The sequence below is a fragment of the Homo sapiens genome, chromosome 1 (genome assembly GCF_000001405.40).
Source record: "Homo sapiens chromosome 1, GRCh38.p14 Primary Assembly".
Lineage (NCBI taxonomy): Eukaryota > Metazoa > Chordata > Mammalia > Primates > Hominidae > Homo > Homo sapiens.
Window position 1 is genome coordinate 112,509,659 of NC_000001.11, and position 22,473 is coordinate 112,532,131.

The 22,473-nt window shown below is 45.0% G+C and overlaps 2 protein-coding genes across 22 annotated transcripts in view, besides 1 other annotated feature; one reads left to right on the forward strand and one right to left on the reverse strand.

Moving 5' to 3' along the window:
* WNT2B (Wnt family member 2B) overlaps nt 1–20,507 on the forward strand; it is a 63,625-nt gene extending 43,118 nt beyond the window's left edge. For 2 of the 3 annotated variants that reach the window (NM_004185.4, NM_001291880.1), the window contains 4 exons: nt 5,216–5,436; nt 6,482–6,759; nt 7,463–7,727; nt 10,622–11,630. In NM_004185.4, the coding sequence (NP_004176.2) occupies nt 5,216–5,436; nt 6,482–6,759; nt 7,463–7,727; nt 10,622–10,851 (994 nt within the window). In that variant the 3' untranslated portion in view covers nt 10,852–11,630. Of the gene's footprint in view, nt 1–5,215; nt 5,437–6,481; nt 6,760–7,462; nt 7,728–10,621 lie in introns of all 3 variants that reach the window. The other variant, NM_024494.3, reaches the window with a different exon arrangement.
* Nucleotides 43–542: an enhancer, noted in NCBI's record as "H3K4me1 hESC enhancer chr1:113052323-113052822 (GRCh37/hg19 assembly coordinates)". NCBI's record gives its function as "activates a minimal SCP1, AML or CMV promoter by ChIP-STARR-seq in naive H9 embryonic stem cells {active_cell/tissue: H9 hESC(naive)}" and the evidence as "EXISTENCE:reporter gene assay evidence [ECO:0000049][PMID:30033119]".
* ST7L (suppression of tumorigenicity 7 like) overlaps nt 8,145–22,473 on the reverse strand; it is a 101,882-nt gene continuing 87,553 nt past the window's right edge. For 15 of the 19 annotated variants that reach the window (XM_011541631.4, XM_047423352.1, XM_047423341.1 and 12 more), the window contains one exon: nt 13,856–16,453. In XM_011541631.4, coding sequence (XP_011539933.1) covers nt 16,355–16,453 — 99 coding nt within the window. In that variant the 3' untranslated portion in view covers nt 13,856–16,354. Of the gene's footprint in view, nt 8,759–13,855; nt 16,454–22,473 lie in introns of those variants that run through there. The other 4 variants (XR_007061293.1, XR_007061292.1, XR_007061291.1 and 1 more) reach the window with 1 other exon arrangement.

Consider the following 22,473-nt stretch of genomic DNA (forward strand, 5'->3'; position numbering starts at 1 on the left):
CAAGGATGCCCGGTGGTCGCGGCTCCTTAGGCCTCCACGTGCTGTACCCCCTCTATTTCAGCTCAAGCCCCTTAGGGCAGAAGCTACCTTCCGAGTTTCCCTCAGGGTGAGTTCAAGGAACGAATAACCTTCCAGGGCCCGCAATAGCTTCGCCAGGGCCCCAATCGCCTAAGGTCGCCCTCTGAGAGGTGGAGAAAGGGGCAGCTCGCTAGTCTAGCCCACCCATACCACAGGAAGGCTTTGGTGAGGCAGCAGCACCCAGCCGAGGCTTAGAAATGGAATCGAGGCAAAATTTACCCCATTAACTCCCACAATTAAAACAAACAAAACGCATGGGTTTGCATTATCTAGGCATTTGTCTTCAGCCACCGTTTTGAGGATGTCACTTAGGAAACTTTGCCTCCCTCCCTTCTTCCTATTCTTTCCCATCTCCCATTTCTCCCCTCCAAGAGCCAGAGGGCTGCGGAGTCCCAAGATACTAAGAGACCCCCTCCCCAGATTTCTTGCAGGCCCTAGACTCCAGACACTTCACAAGAGGGCAGATGAGGCAAAAAGGCATTACAGATCCACTGGATGTCTCGTGTCTGTTCTTTTTAGAATCCTCCCTGCCCCCTACTCCTTGGATGGCACTCATCACCTTCCCGTAGGAGAAGGAGCTGCTTTCCCTTCTTCCCCACCATGGGGAGAGGGCAAAGCAGGGAGAGTTGAACCTAGAAAAGACTCAGTCTTTCCTCTTCACCCCACAATCAAACTGGCCTCTTGGACTAGGCTATTGCCCCTCTCCACCAGGCAGTGCCTCCCGTCCTTTCCTTACTCCGTTCTTCTTCCCGTGCAAGCCCCCCTCCCCGAAATGTGGTCTCTTCTCTCCTTGCACCCTGTGGCTTTTCTCCTCTTGACTTGGAATCTTGGCTGAAGGGTGAGGGGTAGCTGGCCGAGGGGCCCGCCAGCTTGGGCTGCAGATTCCTATCATTTCAAGATGCCGTCTCTCCTTATCCCAACCCCCACCCCCTGTTTTCCTGTTTCAGAAAAATCTCTTTTGAATTTTTTTTTTTTAAATCTCTGCAGTGTTGGGGAAGGCAAGGAGGGGGGGTTCTGGTTGGGGGAACAGAGAGGCCTATATCTTACATCTGGCTTGAAACATTCTTTTAGAAAGGGAAAGGGGAGAAGGGGGATGAGGAGAAAAACCTTTCAAAGTTCTGAGTGAGATCAAAGCTACCTTTTGCCTTCATGAGCTTGGTCTGGCTGGGGACTTGGCATCTTCAGGGTCTTTGTTGAGACAACATGAAGTAACCGCTGCCCATCTTTATCTGGCTCAGACAGCAGTTTGCTTTTTGGGACTCTTGATTGCTTCTTACCAGTTTGGGATATAGTCTTGGGGACCAATTGGTGTTTGGGTGAGGAAGTGTCACTCTGGTAATTTCAGCATCCTGGCAGTGGTTCCTAAAGACCCAAATGGGGGTCTTCCTAGTTCCCATTTTGTACTCTTGACTACTCCCTCTCCCTTTTCCTTTCTCCCTCTACTACCCTCCCCTGATGTGGTTCATATTAAAGATTCTGGAAAAATTCCTGGGTGAAAGAGCTAGGGAGGGAGGGAGGGAGGGAGGTGACACAGAGTGACTTAGCAGCCCCTGTGAAAAGGAGGAAGGCTGCAACAGGGCCAGGTTGGGAAGTGGGTACAGAGGTTGTTTCAGCCTCCTTGCTCCACACCTGTCATAGCTACAGGCCCAGATGCCTGCCTCAGTGATCACCACTTGTGGGATAAGGTGAAAAGCTACCTTCTAAGGGCAGGCTAAGCCCCCAAGCCTTTCTCTTAGGAAAAAACCAGCAAGATTGATGTTCTGTACAACCCGTGGAAGAGAAATGCCTGTTGACTCTGGTGTGTCCATGTTCCACTCTGGAGCAGAAGGCCATCATTTTCACCAGTTAATATTTGGATTTTTCTCATAGCTTGAGATTCTTCCCCTTACTCTCTAACCACTGCCCTCCCTCTATCTATCCTAAACAGACCAAGAAATAGGGAGCTTCCGGCATGTGCTTTCCTGTTTCATTTTGCATTCTGTAGGGGGTTGGATGTAGGGAATCACAAGAACAGGATTGTATTCATAGGCTCACAAAGGGAGAGAAACACAAAGTGGTATCATATTGTTAGCACTACTTTTACCAACAGCAGTTGCTTTTAATAAGCCCTTACTGAGCTTCAGGCACTATGGCCAAACACCTTATGAGCATGATCTTTGTCAATCTGAAATAATCCAGTGAGATGGGTTCTATTATCATCCTTATTTCACAAATGAAAGTGAGGGATGCTGTGGCATTAAGAGCAGATTCATGGAGGCTAATAGTGTTATCTCTGTGTTCAAAGTTCTATATGTGCTGGGCTGAATCATGTACACTAGGGGCTGTACACGAAAGGAGGAAAGAAAAAAAAAAAGCAGATCCCTGGCCCGTTTGTGTCTTTAACATACAAACATAAAACATCTGCAGATAGGCTGGCAACTGTTGACAAGTAAAGCTGTAATGGAAATGGGAGTTAATGGCTGGCTAGAGGGAGAAGGGAGTTGGGGATAAATCAGAACAGTTAGGTGTTTATTCAACAAATAGTGATTGCATACCTACTATGTGCCAGGCACTGTTCTCAGTACTGGGGATATTGAATTGAACAAAACCGACAAAAATCCCTGCCTTTGTGGAGTGGTGCATCCAAACCATGTGAGGATCATGGTGAAATGCAGATTCTGTTACGGTAGGCCTTGGGTGGGGCCTGAATGTCTGCATTTCTAACGAATCCCCACATGATACAGATACTGCTGTTCTGGGGACCACACTTTGAGTAGCAAGGGGCTAGAGTAGTGTATGCCTCACTTTGTCAAATGAAGGGATGTGAATTGGCCAAAAGCAGGTGAAGAGAAGCATTCTGGGGCAGGAAGCTGGGAAGGAAGTGAAGAACTTCCAGAAGGGAAAAACAAAGCTAGAGTCAGGGCATCTAACACTCTACCAGACCGTGAGGTGGGAGATGCCTTAAATATCTTTGTGTCCCTGACATCTGAGCTCAGTGCTTGGCACATGGTAGACATTTTGCAGGCATGTGTTGAACTGAGAGGAAGATGTGGTTAGCCTCAGGCTCAGCTTTATTGGAGGCTCCCTACACTAACTACAAGGGGCTGACTACTGGAGAGCAAGCAAGCGCCATGCTCTGTGGAGTCTTGAAGCCATTACTTAGTGGAGTAAGGGTGGTAATAGAGACATTTAATTATCTTCCCATCTTAGATACTGAACAGATGTTCCCACACTCAGTGAGGATGTAATAAAAAGGACCTATGTGGGCTGCAGCAGAATGGATTTAAGTCAGACCACAAGAAGGACTTGTTGCCCGAGTTTGGCCTGCCCCACTCCAGACTGTCTCACGAGGGCTGGGTTATTGGTCTCTCATTCCCATCCAACCCTCCTCACCCAAGCCCCATTAAAAAAAAACAAAAAAACACACCCATTGCCTAGAGCAGTACTTGGGCTGAACTAGGGAAGCTGAACGGTGGTGAGACAGGGACAAGCTCCAACTCCAACGGTCTTGATTCTCCAAACAAAGCACCACAGCAGTGGGTGTAACTCTGGGCTGTGCGTCAGGCAGCCTTTCCGGCCTGGCCCTGTCTGGGGTGTTTATTTTGTTTGTTCCTGGAAGCTGTTGCCCTGATGGACAGTGCTGGGGATGCTGATTCCATGGGATTTGTTAGGGGAGGGCCAGCCCTCTCACCCCTTCCCCGGGACAGATGGGCCCCATCAGCCCTGCTGAGTTCCCGAAGAGGCAAGCATCAGCCCTCCTTGTGTTTGTTTGAGTTGGTGTCACCAGTGGTGATCCAGTCTGTGGGTGAGGGCCGGCTGTGGGAATGCAGGGGGGTGGTGGGGGGGGACACAGAGCCCAGGGCAGTCTAGCTTTTCCCCTCCCCACACCAGCTGCCCTCCCTTCTCCTCACCCACTTCTAGGCCCATTTTGGGGCCGTTCCCAAACCACAGGCTCATTCATAGCTCAAACCAAGTCTTTTCTGTCTGCAGTAACAATTGCTCTCCATGGCCCCACCTGTTCAAAACAGGGGAGGGAGGGCAGCCCTTTGATGCGTTCTGGACAGGAGAATAAAAAGTTCCCAGCAAATCAAGGAAGGTGCTATGGGGTTAAAGGGAGAGAAAGAGAATGACAAGTGGAGCTGGGCTGTTGAGCTGGAGGAAGTGGGTGAATGGGTCAGATCTCATTTGGTGGCCTCTTGGGGAAGAAGGGTGATATACTCCTGTTTTCTCTCTGAAATATTCTTCCTGAGGCTTGTGGTGGGATCCAGGGTTAAAACTGAGTGAAGAGAAAATATTGCCTTGAGAAACAATAATGACTCTGGCAACCCACCTATTCTTTAGTAGCCCATCTCAATTGACCTTCTTTTAATTGTTCATATTGGACAGACTGGAGACTGCAGTGTGGGGAGAGTCATCCTCTTACTTATCTTGGCCTTTGGCTTCCCACTGCAGACAGCCCTTGCAGGTCCATCCAGGTTGGGGAAGATGGTTTTAAAAGGTTCATTAGTTAAGAAAGGCCCTGGGGCCTGGAAATAAAGGGTTTGAGGAGGAGAGTAGAGGGTGGGGTCTTCCTCCCCGGACCTCACGATTGGGAATGAGGATTTTTTTTAGCTACACGGGTCTGACTAGAGCTGTAAACGTTACTCAGATTGCTCACTATGTCTCTTCCCACGAGCCCCTCCCTGTCACCACCCCCCTGCTGTCAAACCATATCTTCGTGGACCAGCCATGCGGGACATCCCTCTTAATGGGAGCATAAGAGTGTTGTCTCAGACCCTTATTTTGTTAGTTTATGTTTCCATGAAGCTCTTAATGTTTATTAAATAAACAGACAATGAGTTTGTGTGACATGCCCACAGCTTCTGTGTATGTGACACATGCCTAGCCTGTGTTCTGGGAGTGTATGTCACTTTGGCCTTTGGCTGGGGAACTGGTGATGGTGGGAGGCCACTCAATTACTCTCTCTGCAACTGTATAACTATTAATACTTCTTCAGAACTGTGGGAAATGGTTCTACTCATCAGCTTTATGGAATGTGGGTTAGGGAGAGGGGACAGAATCTCTTCAAGGTCTGGATGCTAAACGTACCCCTTCCTTATTCCCTCCCAATGCAGAAAAAGGTCTGGGATGTTCTGACAGGGCCATCTCTGCCTTGCAGGTACATTGGGGCACTGGGGGCACGAGTGATCTGTGACAATATCCCTGGTTTGGTGAGCCGGCAGCGGCAGCTGTGCCAGCGTTACCCAGACATCATGCGTTCAGTGGGCGAGGGTGCCCGAGAATGGATCCGAGAGTGTCAGCACCAATTCCGCCACCACCGCTGGAACTGTACCACCCTGGACCGGGACCACACCGTCTTTGGCCGTGTCATGCTCAGAAGTAAGAGCCTCTTCCATCCTGTGTCAGCTCCTTCCCTTTCTGTGCTGGGGGTGGTGAGTGGGAAGAGTAGGCAAGATCTCCCCTCTCCTCTCCCACACACTGTTTCATCATCAGAGAAAGAACTGTGGGCAGAGCCCAGGATATAATTGGGAACAGACTCTTAGCATCTTAGATTTGTAGACAGGGGCTCCTCTAAATCTTAGTGCTCTGGGACAAGACCAAGGTAAAGCATTCCCTAGAACCTCCATCTTTCTCCCTCATTTTCCTTGTCCTCCCCAATCCCCAGCTTGGGAGGCTACCATGTACTGTAAGGCTGAGGTCTATGATAGGCCCTCTGTTCTTAACACCACCATCACTATCGTCACCCCAACACTCCCAACACTACAGTAATGGGAACAAAAGATAAACAGAAAGGTGATATGTAAATATTTGGAGAGTCAGTGGCTTGGCCTCAGCTCAGCAAAAAAGCTAAATAGAGCTAGACAGTAAACTAGGAGAAAGGGAACAAGATGGGAATCTGGAGGTGTCAGGCATACAGGGGCGATAATTCATCAGTCTCCAAGAGCAGGGAGGGAGAGCAAGCAGGCAAGGGAGGGTAGCATGGATCTCTAAACAGGCTGACCCCTGGGCTGGGGTCTCCATTGTGGGGGAACTGTCCAGCAGAGTGGGCCTGAAAAGGCCTGGAATGTGGACTAAGGCAGGCTTAGCTGAGCCAGTGCTGGCACTCAGTGGGAGGGGATGATTCACCAGGAGACTTTTCAATGGATGGACACAGGGAATTTGGCAGGAAACAAGAGTATAGGTCAGCTCAAAAGGTCAGATATACAAAGAAGTGGATAGAGAGTAGTGAGGGCTGAGGGGAAGAGGTCAGATACTCTGGGGAATGCTCTTGGAAATGAAAGGCACCTTGAATAAAGGGGGTGTAGGGGTGACTCTGGGAAAGAAAATTAGGGAAGAGGTTTCAGAGTCAGAGGTTGTATGGGCTGAAGAAGGGGACAGACATGGGCCTCTTTCCTGAAGCACACCTCTACAATTCTCTCTCTAGGTAGCCGAGAGGCAGCTTTTGTATATGCCATCTCATCAGCAGGGGTAGTCCACGCTATTACTCGCGCCTGTAGCCAGGGTGAACTGAGTGTGTGCAGCTGTGACCCCTACACCCGTGGCCGACACCATGACCAGCGTGGGGACTTTGACTGGGGTGGCTGCAGTGACAACATCCACTACGGTGTCCGTTTTGCCAAGGCCTTCGTGGATGCCAAGGAGAAGAGGCTTAAGGATGCCCGGGCCCTCATGAACTTACATAATAACCGCTGTGGTCGCACGGTCAGTACTCATGTCTGTGTAAGTACACTCATATTTGCTGGGGGTGACCAGTGTGTGTGACCATGGACTAAATAAATGTGAAGATGGAAGAGCTGAAGGCTTCTGGGTCACTTCCAAAAGCCCCAACATCCTGGGACAGGAGAACTAAATGCAAGGGAGCTTAGGAATGCCTAGGGTCAATCAGGTGCGTGAAGAGTCTTCACATAGGTGGAAAGTAGGAAAAGGTGGAGAAAAGAAGTAACTTTTTAAGAAGGAAAAGAACTGCCTTCATAAAGACTGAGAGGATAAGAGGTTGTTCTAGTCAGTTCCCTGGTATTTGAACATCTTCTATGTGCCTAGTACTATGCTGGAAAATGGCACACCACTAAAGTAGAAGGCATGGTACCTGGCACTCTAAAACGTGAAAAGTAGAGGATGTGCAAGCACACTGTCATCGTGAACAGAATCCTGTGGCTCTACAGTTCAGTGGGCTGTCATGAAAAGGAAAGCACTGTTGGTTCAGGCAGATTTCCTGGAAAAAGAGTTTCTTGAACTTGATCAGGAAGAATGGGTGGGATCTGATGTGGGAGAGAACCGAGAGCTCAATCGGCCAGCCAGGGCCAGGTCCAGCCTATCTCAGAGCACTCATCCTTTTGGACCTAGGGATGACTAAAATGTGTCCTGACCAGCTACTTCTCCCTTAACTGCCTTCCCCCTCCCCCAGGCTGTGCGGCGGTTTCTGAAGCTGGAGTGTAAGTGCCATGGCGTGAGTGGTTCCTGTACTCTGCGCACCTGCTGGCGTGCACTCTCAGATTTCCGCCGCACAGGTGATTACCTGCGGCGACGCTATGATGGGGCTGTGCAGGTGATGGCCACCCAAGATGGTGCCAACTTCACCGCAGCCCGCCAAGGCTATCGCCGTGCCACCCGGACTGATCTTGTCTACTTTGACAACTCTCCAGATTACTGTGTCTTGGACAAGGCTGCAGGTGAGTAAGGAAGGCAGGCAGGGACATGCAGTCCCAGTTCTTAGTGCAGGCACCCCTGGTTAATCATGGTCTGTTCAGTCTCAGGAGTTAGGGAAGGGGGTGCTGTGGGAGGAGGCAGTTTCCTCTCCACATGAACACCTGGTCATGAGATTGTTGCAGTCCACCAGGCCCAGTGCTGCCCAAGTAGAGAGGAGGTCACTCAGCTCCTTGAGGCCTGAGGTCATGCATCGCTCCTTTGTATCCCAGCATCTGGGATACAGTAGGCATTATTCAGGGTATGTTTAACTTAGTTACCTGTTTTCAGTTTTAAGCAATGTGTGGGCTGCACAGAAACATAAGATGCAGCCCTAAGCCTTTGGCTCTTCGCAATCTACTTAAAGAAATGAGACATAATGGGTAGACAAATGCAAAGAGAGATGGAGAAATCAATAAAGTTTATTTGAAAATGTAGGGAAAAAAAAGAAACTAGAATTTAAGCTGCTCCTTGAAGTGTAGGGAGTATCTGGATAGCTTGAGAGACGAGTGGGCAATTTCTTATCAGAGAGTAGTAGGTGGGAAAGCACATGATCTGTCCCAGGGACAGAGAACAGACCAATCTGCTGGGTAAAGGTTCTCTCTAAGGGAGATTAAAGCTAGAAAGATGTCCTTGAAAGGCTTTATCCAGTGTGCTGCCATTGAAGATTCTGAAACAGCTGAAAAAGAAACGAAGAAGAGATCCCTACCAAAGGCAGGTAAAGCAGCAAATGGTTGTTTTTCAGTCTGTTCGAGGTATTTGTGGTGGGATTCTTGGAGGTGCTGGAAGTTGATATGGTTTTTCCCCAAGGGAATGAAAGTTACCATCCTGGCTCACATTTCTGGTTCAGATAGGTTAAACTAGGAACATGCAATGCAGCAGAACTCTTCTCCTCTGGTTATTGCTGTGGGGCTCCCAGGCTCTTTTCTACAGGCTCAGCGTCAGGACTTGGGTGAAGTGGAGCCAAAAAACCTCAGCTATCTTCGGTACTGTTTGTTTTCACCCATCACTGTCATTCCTGGAAGAGTCAAGTGGCTTGGAGTAAAACTGGGCACAGAAAAAGGGTGGGGCTCTACCCAATTAATGAAGAAAGTAGTCTGTATACTTTGTAGGGTGCTAGAAGAAAAAAACTTGGAGCCCTTCTGATTTTCCTAGTGATTTCCTGCCACTAAGTATACTTTCCTCCCACTTGGTCTAATTCAGAGGGTCACTCTCTGGATACCTAGAAATAATTCCATAACATCTGAGGTGTAAACCTATACTACCATACTGAAAATACACCTTTAGGGAAGGAACTTTGGAGTTAGGAGGGAGGATAAGTCAAATGTGTGTTCGTTTTTCTCAGAGGCATAAAATTAGGCCTCCTAAAACCCAAAGTGGGCCCTGGAATTCAAAGAATATAAGTCATCCCAGAAAGAATATGGAGCCAGGAATTCCCTCCAAAGCAATAGAGTCCAATTGAACTTTCTGTGATGATAGAAATGTTTTCCTATCTCTGTTGTCCAATACAGTAGCAACTAGCCACATGTGATTACTGAGTACTTGGAATATAACTAGTGTGACTGAGGAGCTAAATTTTTTAGTTTAATTTTCATTAATTTAGATGTAAAAGACCATATGTGACTAGTGGCTGCTACCCTGGACAGCACAGCTCCACAGTGTAGAAGGGGTTTTTGGTGCCCAAGAGGACTTAAGACCCAGCCCTTGGAGTTAGGAGACTAACATATACAGTAGACCTAGTCAGTCCACATTCCAGACCAGTGGTCTCCTAACATTCTGGATCCTTTACTCCTATCATTAAAACAATTTGAGCATATATCTCCATTATATGTATATTTATTTATACCTGTGTTCCACTATATGAATATGTATATTATAAAACGTAAATATTTTAAATTGATGAGATAAAAAACATAGAAGTTCTAGCATTTTCCTCCCGTATCCCAGTGACATTTGGAGACTAATTCTGTAGAAATCAGTTAATCTATTCTCCGTTTTGAACCTAGGCTAGTCAGTTTCCCATCTCTGGATTCTTATTAACCATGGAAAAGCTTGGAGTAGATGCTCTCATGGGCCCAACTCATCCAAAAGTCTATTGATTTTATGATCTGTTGGCAGGATCTCTTTTGCTAAAATCAGTCAGAATGAGGTTCTAAGCATTCCCTATGCATGGGGAAAACATGATCCCTATCCTAGAGTTTCCACTGTAAGGGGAAGGGATAATGCTTAGGGATAATAGCAATAATAATAATGCAAGGGATATTACTTAGGAATTCCTTAGGAATATGCCTCCAGCCAGTCATGGTAATCAGTTCACCTCTTCAGATGAACAGAGATTATATCTAACAATCTATTATTGTGCTTATTTTCATATGAGAAACTAAGTTAATGTTTCATTTTGACTAAATCACACAACTAAGAGTGGTAGAACTGGGATTTGAATCCAGACAAGATGATGTCAGAGCCCATGCTTCTTTTTTTTTTTTTTTTTTTTGGAGACAGAGTTTCACTGTCACCCAGGCTAGAGTGCAGTGGTGCAATCTTGGCTCACTGCAGCCTCGACCTCCCAGCCTCGTGTTACTTTCACCTCAGCCTCCTGAGTATCTAGGACTACAGGCTCATGCCCATGGCACCTGGCTAATTTTTTAAGTTTTTGTAGAGACAGGGCTTGCTATGTTTCCCAGGCTGGTCTTGAATTCCTGGACTCAAGGATTCCTTCTGCCTTGGCCTTCCAAAATGCTGGGATGATAGGCATGAGTGAGCCACTGTGCCCAGCCCAAAAAAGCGATTCTTTTTATCTTCCTTCTGAGAATGTGGTTAAGGGTATCCAGGGCAGCTGAAGAGATAACTTTGTTCTCACTCCCTCTCTTCCCCAACCCAGGTTCCCTAGGCACTGCAGGCCGTGTCTGCAGCAAGACATCAAAAGGAACAGACGGTTGTGAAATCATGTGCTGTGGCCGAGGGTACGACACAACTCGAGTCACCCGTGTTACCCAGTGTGAGTGCAAATTCCACTGGTGCTGTGCTGTACGGTGCAAGGAATGCAGAAATACTGTGGACGTCCATACTTGCAAAGCCCCCAAGAAGGCAGAGTGGCTGGACCAAACCTGAACACACAGATACCTCACTCATCCCTCCAATTCAAGCCTCTCAACTCAAAAGCACAAGATCCTTGCATGCACACCTTCCTCCACCCTCCACCCTGGGCTGCTACCGCTTCTATTTAAGGATGTAGAGAGTAATCCATAGGGACCATGGTGTCCTGGCTGGTTCCTTAGCCCTGGGAAGGAGTTGTCAGGGGATATAAGAAACTGAGCAAGCTCCCTGATTTCCCGCTCTGGAGATTTGAAGGGAGAGTAGAAGAGATAGGGGGTCTTTAGAGTGAAATGAGTTGCACTAAAGTACGTAGTTGAGGCTCCTTTTTTCTTTCCTTTGCACCAGCTTCCCGATACTTCTTGGTGTGCAAGAGGAAGGGTACCTGTAGAGAGCTTCTTTTTGTTTCTACCTGGCCAAAGTTAGATGGGACAAAGATGAATGGCATGTCCCTTCTCTGAAGTCCGTTTGAGCAGAACTACCTGGTACCCCGAAAGAAAATCTTAGGCTACCACATTCTATTATTGAGAGCCTGAGATGTTAGCCATAGTGGACAAGGTTCCATTCACATGCTCATATGTTTATAAACTGTGTTTTGTAGAAGAAAAAGAATCATAACAATACAAACACACATTCATTCTCTCTTTTTCTCTCTACCATTCTCAACCTGTATTGGACAGCACTGCCTCTTTTGCTTACTTGCTGCCTGTTCAAACTGAGGTGGAATGCAGTGGTTCCCATGCTTAACAAATCATTAAAACACCCTAGAACACTCCTAGGATAGATTAATGTAGTAAGTCTGGCTAGGCCTTGTGTTGCCTTTTTTTTTTTTTTTTTTTTCTTTTCTTTTCTTCTCTTCCCATGCACTATTCTGGAGGTTTGCCAGGTTTGGGGAGACATGGAGTAAAAGAAAGATAGGCAACTCATGGATGGTGGGAGAGCAGGTAAGCAGGTCTGATCTCAAGGGCCCACATGAGGCATCAGTATATATTAGGCAGGTAGGGATCTCTGGCTTTGGTAATTCTTTATGAGAGGATCCTAGCCTTTGAAGCTGGGAGCAGGAGTCAGTGGCTACAGTGGGAAGGAGTACTGCAGGTTGGGGCCAAAGTGATACACAGCTTAGAAGGCAGCCTTCCTCCACTTACTCAACAAATCTTTATTTAGTGACTCTCCAAGTCCTAGTGATTATTATTATTGTTCACTCCACATTTGGCTTAATGGGTAATGCTATTACCCATTGCCTAACTAGGTTTGCAGTAGTGGAATCTCCAGAGATAGCAGGCTTAGTAAGCTGGAGGTAGGACATGAAGTCCCCCAAAACTTGATGTCCTATTTTTATGTGAGTTGGACAGTGGTTATCTTTTGCCTGTTGATATCTTAAAGCAGCAGAGTGGTATAGAAATTTGCGGTTATGACAGACCCGGGTTAAAAATCACAGCTGTGCCATTTGCTTTGATATTTTGAGCAAGGTAGCTAAATTTTCTGAGCTTCTATTTTCTCATCTGTAAAATGAGGATACGTACCTGTTCTTTTTTTTCTTTCTTTTTATTTCTTTTAGAGATAGGGTCTCGCTTTGTTGCCCAGGCTGGAGTGCACTGGCATGATCATGGCTCACTGCAGCCTCAAATTCCCAGGCTCAAGCAATCCTCCCACCTCAGCCTCCCCATTAGCTGGGACTACAGGGCCATGCCATCATGCCCAGCTAATTTAAACATAGTTTTCAGAGATGGAGCTCACTATGTTGCCCAGGCTGGTCTTGAATTCTTGGTCTCAAGCAATCCTCCCACTGCAGCCTTCCAAAGTGCTGGGCGTACAAGCGCAAGCCACTGTGCCCAGCTGTCAGACGCTGAGTTTTAATTATGCACCAAACTCCAGCCCGCAGATCCTCTTCACCAAAGCCCCTGGCTGGTCTAGCCCATCATGACTTCTCTAGGAACAGTCCTTCTTTAGGACTATAAAGTATTAACAAAAGTCTGTAGATTAAGGAGCCTGCATAAAGAATTCTGGATACAGGCCCCTGTCTTTCCAAAGTTCCTCTCCAATATCCCTTGGGGTCCTCATGTTTTTGAAGCAGCTTCACTCTGCACAGGCAGCAGGAGGTTGGGGGAGCCATAGCTCTGGGCCACGGGGGCAGATTTATTTGGATGATAGGACTAATATTTGTGTAACCTGCTGAGACCTGTGTGGGAGAGTTTAGGGTGGTTTTTCTTTTGGTGAGGGGATTTGCTCTGGTTTCACATCCATTAACACAAAACATGAGCTAGTCAGGGCCCTTGTGGTCTGCGGTAAGGGGATGCCTGTGGAGAAATGGGCCTGAGTGAGTCAGGCCAAGAGAATGTCTTCCTTCAGAATGGAGTCAACTGGATAACTGATGAGCCAATGGTGGGATTAAGGAGGGGGAAATGGGAGGGGAAGAGAACAGCTGACATCTTGAGGAAAGCTTTGGGGTAGTGGAGAGGTAAGGGGGTCATGGTCAGTCTGAACTCAACAATAGGGCTGAATGAATTTACCAAAGGAAGCTGCCTTATATTATATGCCAGGCTGCTGGGGAAAGCCTCAGGTCCTGGCCAGCCCCTGTTCTCACAAGAACATGCAGGTTACCACATAAATAATGGCATATGCCTTCCATAGGACGTCAACCTGACTTAAATCTACCTATACCCTACTCTCTATTCTTTGGTTTTTGGTTCTCATCCCTGTGGAAGGAAATGGGCCTCTTCTGGCATCTCATGCTACTCTGTGCTTTTCCTTGGGCTCCAAATTCTAGCTCATAAAGATGCAAGTTTTGCAATTTCCTATAAATGGTTAAGAAAAGAGCAAGCTGTCCAGAGAGTGAGAAGTTTGAAAAGAGAGGTGCATAAGAGAGAAATGATGTCCATTTGAGCCCCACCACGGAGGTTATGTGGTCCCAAAAGGAATGATGGCCAAGCAATTAATTTTTCCTCCTAGTTCTTAGCTTGCTTCTGCATTGATTGGCTTTACACAACTGGCATTTAGTCTGCATTACACAAATAGACACTAATTTATTTGGAACAAGCAGCAAAATGAGAACTTTATTTGGTGCAGTCAGGGCTCCATTTAGTTCCCTCACTCTGCTTCTAATCACCCCTTCTCCCAGCCCTCTTCTATTTGATAGAGGTCTGTCCCTCAGATCAGCAATGTCTTAGCCCCTCTCCTCTCTTCCATTCCTTCCTGTTGGTACTCATTTCTTCTAACTTTTAATAAACATTTAGGTATAATACATTACAGTAAGTGCTATTTAGATACAAACTTAAAACATACTATATATTTTAAGGATCTAAGAATCCTTTAGAGAAGGCACATGACTGAAGTACCTCAGCTGCGCAGCCTGTAGCCAGTTTTTTTAATGTAAAAGTAAGAATGCCAGCCTTAACCTAGCCCTGCAGATAAAAGCTAACTTTTATTAATACCAGCCCTGAATAATGGCACTAATCCACACTCTTCCTTAGAGTGATGCTGGAAAAATAAAATCAGGGGCTTCAGATTAAAAAAAAAAACAAAAAACAAAAAACAAAAACAAACATTGCCTGGCCCTGAGGGTCTGTTTGCAAAACTTCTTGTAGATCTAATTTCTGAACACTCACTGCTTCATTTCTATTCCTCCTGTTGCAGGGAGTAATTTCTTCTCCTTTGTCTCACTTCCCTTATCAAGAACACCAACCAGTAAGTCTTTGCCAAATTCTCAGACCCACTCAGGACACGAGTCTCTACATGGCTTAACAGAAGAGAGATAATTAGGATTTTTTTTTCCTCAGTCTTTCTGAGGTTTTTATTTAAATGCACTCAGTGGTCATAGGGCAGAAGCTCAAGCTAGCTGGGGCGAAGGGAGGACGCCAGGGAGAGTATGTTTCTCATCCCTGGGAGGCATTCAGCCTAGCTCCTGCAGCCAAATTACAGCACCAGAGAACAATGTGATGCATTCCTGGGCAGGTCGGTGGGACCCTGGGCGCCTGGGCCTTGTGGAGAGAGGTGCCAGACACAGAGTTCTCCGTAAGCAATCCTGCAGAGCCGCCCCCTGGGTGCAGAAATGAAATACGGGAGAGCTTCACATTACACAGAGACCTGTAGCTCACACCTGGTTATTGATGGCCTTGGTGGAGGCCTCTGCCCCGACCCTCCACTTGGGAACTGCCTGCTACTACGGGGGTTGGGCATCTTTGAAGCAATGTTGGATAACAAGAAAGAGATGCTTCCTTTTCACTCTTTGCCCTCCCTGTCAGCCTGAGCACAACCATGAGGTTACACACACACACACAGAGGTGTACATATACAGACACATAGAGAACTTCTCTCAGGCTGCATAGGAGTTCTGCTCATCCTCCTCTCCCCAACAATTAAAAAAAAAAGCAATTAGATTTCGATCCAGTACTTCAAAAAGGATACCAATAGGGTCTGGCTTTAATCAAGGAATATCTACAAAGTCACATTACCAACCTGCAGGCAACTCTTTGGTTTGGGGACCAGAACTCCTCTGGTGGGTGGTTGGGGGAAGGATGCAGGAAGGGCATGGTGAGGAGAGATCAGTGGTGAAGAATTACCATCAAAGCAGAGTGGCTGAGACTGTATAAGTTCGCAAGGCTGGTTCATGCCAGAGATAGTGAGATGTGCACCCTATGTGCTGAGAATGATGGAGCAGTCTCCTATGACTGCATGGGGTATAACTGCCAAGCCTACTGCTCATGACCTGTGGTTGTTTTTAACTCTTAACTGGGTTAGAAAACTGGAGAGCTTTGGATTCCAGGGATGATCTCCATAAGAGAGAAGCACTGGAAAAGACCAAGTGGTGGCTTTATTAGGGTAAATATATCACAGTTGCTACAGTGAATTGAGCTTTCTCAGAAGCTATTATTTTCTTTGGGTGATTGGCAGGTATAGGGCAATAGCCAGTGGGGTGTCAGTAATATGCCCTGTCCCTGACCTCAAAGGTAAAGGGATAGAAAAGAGAGGGCGTTGACAAACTCATTTTCCCACTTCCCACTCATGGCTTATATTATCTCTGAGCATCTCGGTGGCTATTCCTCATTTACTTAAGATGTTTTAGTCATTCTGGATGTGCAAATGCAAGGCAAGCATTCTCCCACTGGCCCCCTAACGGTTAACTATCCTGGCTTAAAATTTTCCTTTGCTCACTTCCATTCTATGAGTATATCGATGGAGCAGCTGGACATTAGAGTTCTTTCTCTTTGACCAAAGGAGCCAAAATGCGGTGACTTGACTTCAACCCCAACAGCCCCTGTAAGTAGCCCTGGCCAAACAGAAAGGCTAAGCTGAATGAAGAAAAAAGGAAGACAATTTCATCTACAGTTGTCCTTTTTGACAGCTTCCAAGGGGGGTTTGCCTAGGAATAACAATATTCATAAGAAGCTTTTTCATATGCAAAATGCTTTAGCATATATGTAATCCTCACAACAACCCTGTGAGGTAGGGGTTACTGTCACTTTACAGATGCTGTTCAGAAAAATTTGGTGATTTGTCCAAGGTCACATGAACAGTGCGTGGCTCAGCCAGAACTCAAACCTAGGTCTTCTGACTTCAAATCCTGTGTATTCTCCTCAAAGCCTGAGGATGCCCAGGGTTGGGGGCACCAGAGTCCCAGCACCTTCAAAACAGAAATTGATACAAAATGTTCAAGCCCTGTAGGAGTCCCAGGACAGCCAAGAGAGTATATCTGAGCACAGTTTACAAAGGAACAGCCTAGGCCCTCCTGAACCTTATCAACCAATGGCTCTTTTGCCATTTCTGCCACTATTACCACCAGTACCATGTGACCACTATACAACATATTCCACATTTAAACAACTCTGGCTCCTAATTCTACTCCTTTTTTCCCCTTCAGATTAACATTAAAAATTTTATCTAGTCCTTTTGAAATTATGCTAAATGTATAGACACAGTAGAAGTAGTCATGACAGAAAATTATTAAGGCTTTGAAAATATGTATCAGAGGCCGGGTGCAGTGGCTCATGCCTGTAATCCCAGCACTTTGGGAGGCCGAGGTGGGGCAGATCACGAGGTCAGGAGATTGAGACCATCCTGGCTAACACGGTGAAACCCTGTCTCTACTAAAAATACAAAAAAATTAGCCGGGCCTGGTGGCGGGCGCCTGTAGTCCCAGCTACTGGGGAGGCTGAGGCAGGAGAATGGCGTGAACCCAGGAGGCAGAGCTTGCAGTGAGCCAAGATGCACCACTGCACTCCAGCCTGGGAGACAGAGCGAGACTCCGTCACAAAAAAAAAAAAAAAGAAGGTATGTATTAGAATTTTCTTTGAGATTTCACTCCTTTTAAAAATGACGTCAACTCCTGGGTTAGGAAAGCAAGATGAGGGAATAAGTGTCCTAAGAAACTCCCATCCCAAGCCAGACAGATGCCTACCCGTGGCCTGGCAAAGGTCCTGGGATCTCAAGCTGATGCAAGCAATTTGTGTACACCAAGGCAAGGGGTCTCAATCCTGCAGAGAAACCCATGAGATGAGGCAGACAGCAGATTTTCACTTGATCAAACACTTGCTGCTCTCAACCCCTCTTTGTTTTCCCATCCAAAATCTGGACCTCTGTTTAGGCGCAAGACAGTGAGTAAGAGCAGCTCCAAAAGATGACGTATGCAAGGGGAACTCTTCTGTTCAATCCTGTAATGTTTTCTGTTAGAGACAGCATAGGCTACCTATCCTAATCCTGCACCCCAACTGTTAAGACAGAAGGGAAAAGTACAATGTTCATCAATCATAGCTCTGGGATGCTGCAGCTCCCTGACCTGGGCCCCTACTTGAGCTAGGAGAAGAACACCTCATGAAAACAGTCTACCTATAGTCAGGACTTCCCCAAGGCAGACTTTATTTTTTGGTCCATCGATCTTGGCTCTCACTGTTCTCCCTGCTTCCCACCCCCAACTGCCTCTGCATGTGGGCTCAGAAGTCATCATCTAAAGAATTCCATTGCTCACCTCCTGCATAGCAGCACAGCCCCATGAGGCCACACACCAGATGGAGGGGATAAAAGTACGAGGTCATGGCTTCTTGCAAGAGGCTTTTTCTTAAACTAACCCTGACTCCTGGAAAAGAGGCAGAGCAGGAGAGTGTTGAATGAGCTGCTGATGACAGCAGCTTCATAGGTCTTGTGTATAAAGGAAGGAAAAAGCTAACTTGGCTTTCCGTGGAAATTTACCTACTCCCATTTTCAGGTCTACTCCTGGTCTCACATCTACTTCTTGAAGGTGTCTAAGTAGAATGCAGAGATTGTCAAGCTAGAGGGTTAACTCCTTCCCAATTGTAGGGATCTATTCAGCAGGCTGCCACACACATGCTGAGGTGGAGGCCAACCCTGAACACATGCGCTGCTTCTTTAGGAATGTAACTATGAAGTAAAAGGAAACAGTAAGGAAGGTGAACTGGAACTCTGGGGAAACTGAAAAGGTCATCAATAGGCCTTCAAAATATTTGTGTGTAATAAGTAGACACAAGAGGCTGGAGGAAGATGATCATTCCTAGAATAATTATGCTTACTGGGTGACAATATACAGAAGCAACAATTACAATAAAATGAAACAGTTTAATGGACTAGGAAGCAGAAGTCTGAGAATAAAGGAATTAGGTTAATGAGATTAAGCAGAGATGGCATTCCACAGGAGGTGACTTTTGAGTTGAATTTTTAAAAGATAGCTTTATGTGTTTTATGAACTGACTGAGGGCAGTCAGAAGAAGGCATTCTAAATAGAGGGAACTGGTATGTGCTGAAACTTAGAAGCAGGAATGTACAAGCAATATATAAGGAATTTCAAGCAAGTACACATTATATACACTGGGGAATACAGAGAAATTAGAATGCTGAGATCAGGGCTTAAATAATGTGAGGTGACTGTGTGCACCTAGACTGTCAAATGGTTCAGCATCCCCTATAGAGCCACATAGTATCTTGATTTATGTCAGTAAACATCAGGGCACCTATGGAAAAGCACAAGGATGAGTCCATTTGTTACAGACCCAGGGACTAACAGAGATCTACACTGTAAAGTTCAACAAAATGCTACATATCATTAACTACAGCTCCTTATCATTTGAGATTCTGGGCTAAGTAAGAGATATCAAATATCCTATCCAGTACTGTGATACATTAATGTAGGCTTACAGGCCCAGAACCTGGCATAAATCAAGCCAAACCCTTAAGAAATTAGAATGTGAAAAGAAAATAATTTAAAATAGAAAATACATGCTGCTTTTCCTCACTCCCAAACTTAAAACTTGACTGGTCCTACATATTCTACTTGGTATATTGAATTTTTGCAGCTAGCAGATTTATCGTATCTGAGGCCATAGTGAATAGAAGAGCTGCAAAAGAGCTTTAGAGACTGCAAAACCAGCTCACTAATAAATGAGGAACTTTATTCTAATTTACTACCAGGGGCTGAAGTAGCAGCCAAAGAAGGAGACAAATTCTAACTTCATGATCTCTAGTTAGGTGTCTATTTTCCTGCATTTGCTAAAGGTAAAAATCGCTACTTATGGGGCTTTTGTCATACTTCTTAACCAAACTTCCCTAACTTCTGAGGATAAAAACCATAAGGGCAATCTTATTCTTCCAAAGCAGTTCCCTGGTGCCACTTTCAGAAACAGAGTATTGAACTATGGGTCTGACCCAGTGTGGCACTGAGTGTGTGTGTGTTTGTGTGTTTGTGTGTGTGTGTACACTGAATAAGCCAAAACGTGTGCCATATTCTAGGTTTCTGCTTTACTTAACTGGCAAAATTTGGTGCTGTAAGGGAGGCAGCCACAAAACCAGTGATAGCATTTGTTAGTATCATCTTAGTTCTCTTCCCTCCCCTAGGTAGTTTATAAAGGGTGATTTCTGAAACCCTTCACAAAAGAAAAGCTCAAGGGTTTACATTCAACTGTGACAGCACTATGAATTCATTAAGAAGCATGTTTCAGGTTGCACTGTAATTTCCCTATGTAATACAAACCCATGGAATCTGACATAAGCTGATTGCTCATGCTGGTTGTTTTATTTACATTTCTGAATGGAAAGGATTTCAATACTCATAAAATATCTAACTGGCTTATTTTTCATCTGTTCTCCCAGAGAAGCTATTATAAGATAGGCATAGAGACAGAAGTCTCAACTTGTATAACTGGTTAAGCAACCAGGGAAATGTTATTGCTCAAAATGCAATTTTAAAAAATTCAATATGGAACTTGAGGCCAAAAAAACAGAAGGTTACTCTCAATGCCATCCAAAAGATAAAAGTTAAAAAAAAAAAAAAAAAAAAAGGTAACTATGCTCATTATTTTCAACCAAGTTCTATGGAGGTGGTACCTTCACAGGAGCTCAGTGGAACTGGGGTTTACTTACATCTTTTTTCTGGGAACCTAATGTTAGCAGACACAGTTGCTAGTTTGAACAGGAATGCAGATGAATGGATGAAAGTGGGCTCCCTACCACCCAGAAATATGAATGTGCCTCCTTACCAATATGCTACAAATCAGACCTCTGAATTAGAAGATGCCATCATGCAACTAACTTACTATCTGGAGATGTGTATTTTGTTAACCTAGGCAAAGAATAACAATTTCTGCTTATTCCAGTAGGTGTGACAAGCTCAGAGAAGTGAGCGACAAGCTAGAGAAGTAATAATTACCAATAAAGTAAATTCCAAAGCCGAATCCCCAGTTTTCTGCCTCCAAGTTGTTGTTCAAATAGTTTATCTTCCTTTCTTCTACTGCAACACTAGTTTAATCAGTACATTCTACAACTCTCTAGTATTATTATAATATTTGCATGAGTAGTTTAGAATTTAGCCTTGGGCCTGCTCTTCTACCATTTTACCATATTTACTGATTACATTTTACCATATTTTACCATATTTACTGATTACATGCCTAATTTGTATAAACTCAAGGAGAGGTTCTGTGCCTTTTTGTTTGTTTTTTGAGATGGATTCTCGCTCTGTCACTAGGGCTGGAGTGCAGTGGCGTGATCTTGGCTCACTGCAACCTTCGCCTCCCAGGTTCAAGCAATTCTCCTGCCTCAGCCTCCTGAGTAGCTGGGATTACAGGCGCCTGCCACCACATCAGGCTAATTTTTGTGTTTTTAGTAGAGACAAGGTTTCACCATGTTGGCCAGGCTGGTCTCAAACTCCTGACCTCAGATGATCTACCCACCTCGGCCTCCCAAAGTGTTGGGATTACAGGAGTGAGCCACCGCACCCAGCCTCTGTGCCTATTTTAAAACATATATCCCAAAGTCATATCCCCAGTGATCCAGCTAGTCTGTTACTTTAATGAGACAGCTCAATAAAGATAGGAAATATTTTTTCAGTTACTTAAAGAGAAAATAATACTGGTGGTTCTCCCTGTAAAGAGGTAGAATTGCCAAAAAATGCAGAATTGATCAGCAAAACCCAGCTATAAAGAAAGGGCAAAAGGAACTTTATTTTAGTGCCTTATCCCAATATCCTTTTATTTAGTTTTTTGATTAACATGATGTGTGCCTATTTTCAGAATCAGTGACTGCCAGCTGCAGCTCTTGACATTATCAAGTGAGCTCTGGAAAATTCTGGGTAGCTCTTTCCTATTCTCTCACATGCCCAAAGAACTAAGTAATTTTGGTCCTAACTCTTACTATTCTATTCTTCTTCACATGAAATCACATTGTTTCATACTGAAAACCAGGATGGCTATTAGTTCTTATTAATCTGTCATTATTAGGAATGAGAGGATATAAAAGAGGTATATAAAATGTATGAGTGTAGAGCTTTTGTCTAAGGCAATTACTCTGTGAATCTGAGGTGAGACATTTCTTAAATTTTGAATTGTGGAGCTCTCCATTTTTTGATAAATTATATTCATATAAACATTATAATAAATAACACTGCTTACAAAAAGATGAATTCCAGCTGCTGAGTATAAAGATGAAAGTACTCCACATCACATATTTGGAAAAGAATAAAGATATCTCTTTCTATATGTTCTTGCTTGACCTAACCGAATAAATTCTTCTGAAAGGAAGCATAATCTATTAGTCTAGACTGACCTTTTGGGTCACTATATCTTACGGGAGCCGTGTGAAAATAACTCACCATTCCCTTCCAGTCAAATAAATGAATATTCAAGGATGAACTCATCTATTGTGGCAATAGCTTCCACCTTATACTAATACATCTTCATGCCCATCTCAAACCCCCTACCACTAGACTATGAGTTACTTATGAACAGGGATTATATTTTATACTTCACAGGTACCCAATGAATTTGAAATGCAAAGACCTGTTATATGTTATAGGACAATCATTACCATATTTTAGCATGTTATAGGACAATTAAAACCATGTTTTAATTTGCTGAGGCTCTTTACAAATCTAAACTTTGAAAACAAATCAAGACAGGCCCTATTGGAGTCCTTCCATTCAATAAGCCAACATTCAAAGAAGACTCTTTTCAGGTTATCCAGGACTCTCTGAACTGCATGTTCTACTGCAGTTTTTGTTTTTTGTTTTTTAAAGGTGGTATTACAAGAGCTAAAATTCACCAAGGGCAAATTAGTAAGAAAAGTCTTCACAGCTAGGGCTTAGCCAAATTAGAATCCCTGGGCTCGCAATAAGGGCTAAACCCCTAAAGGGATCAGAGTCTA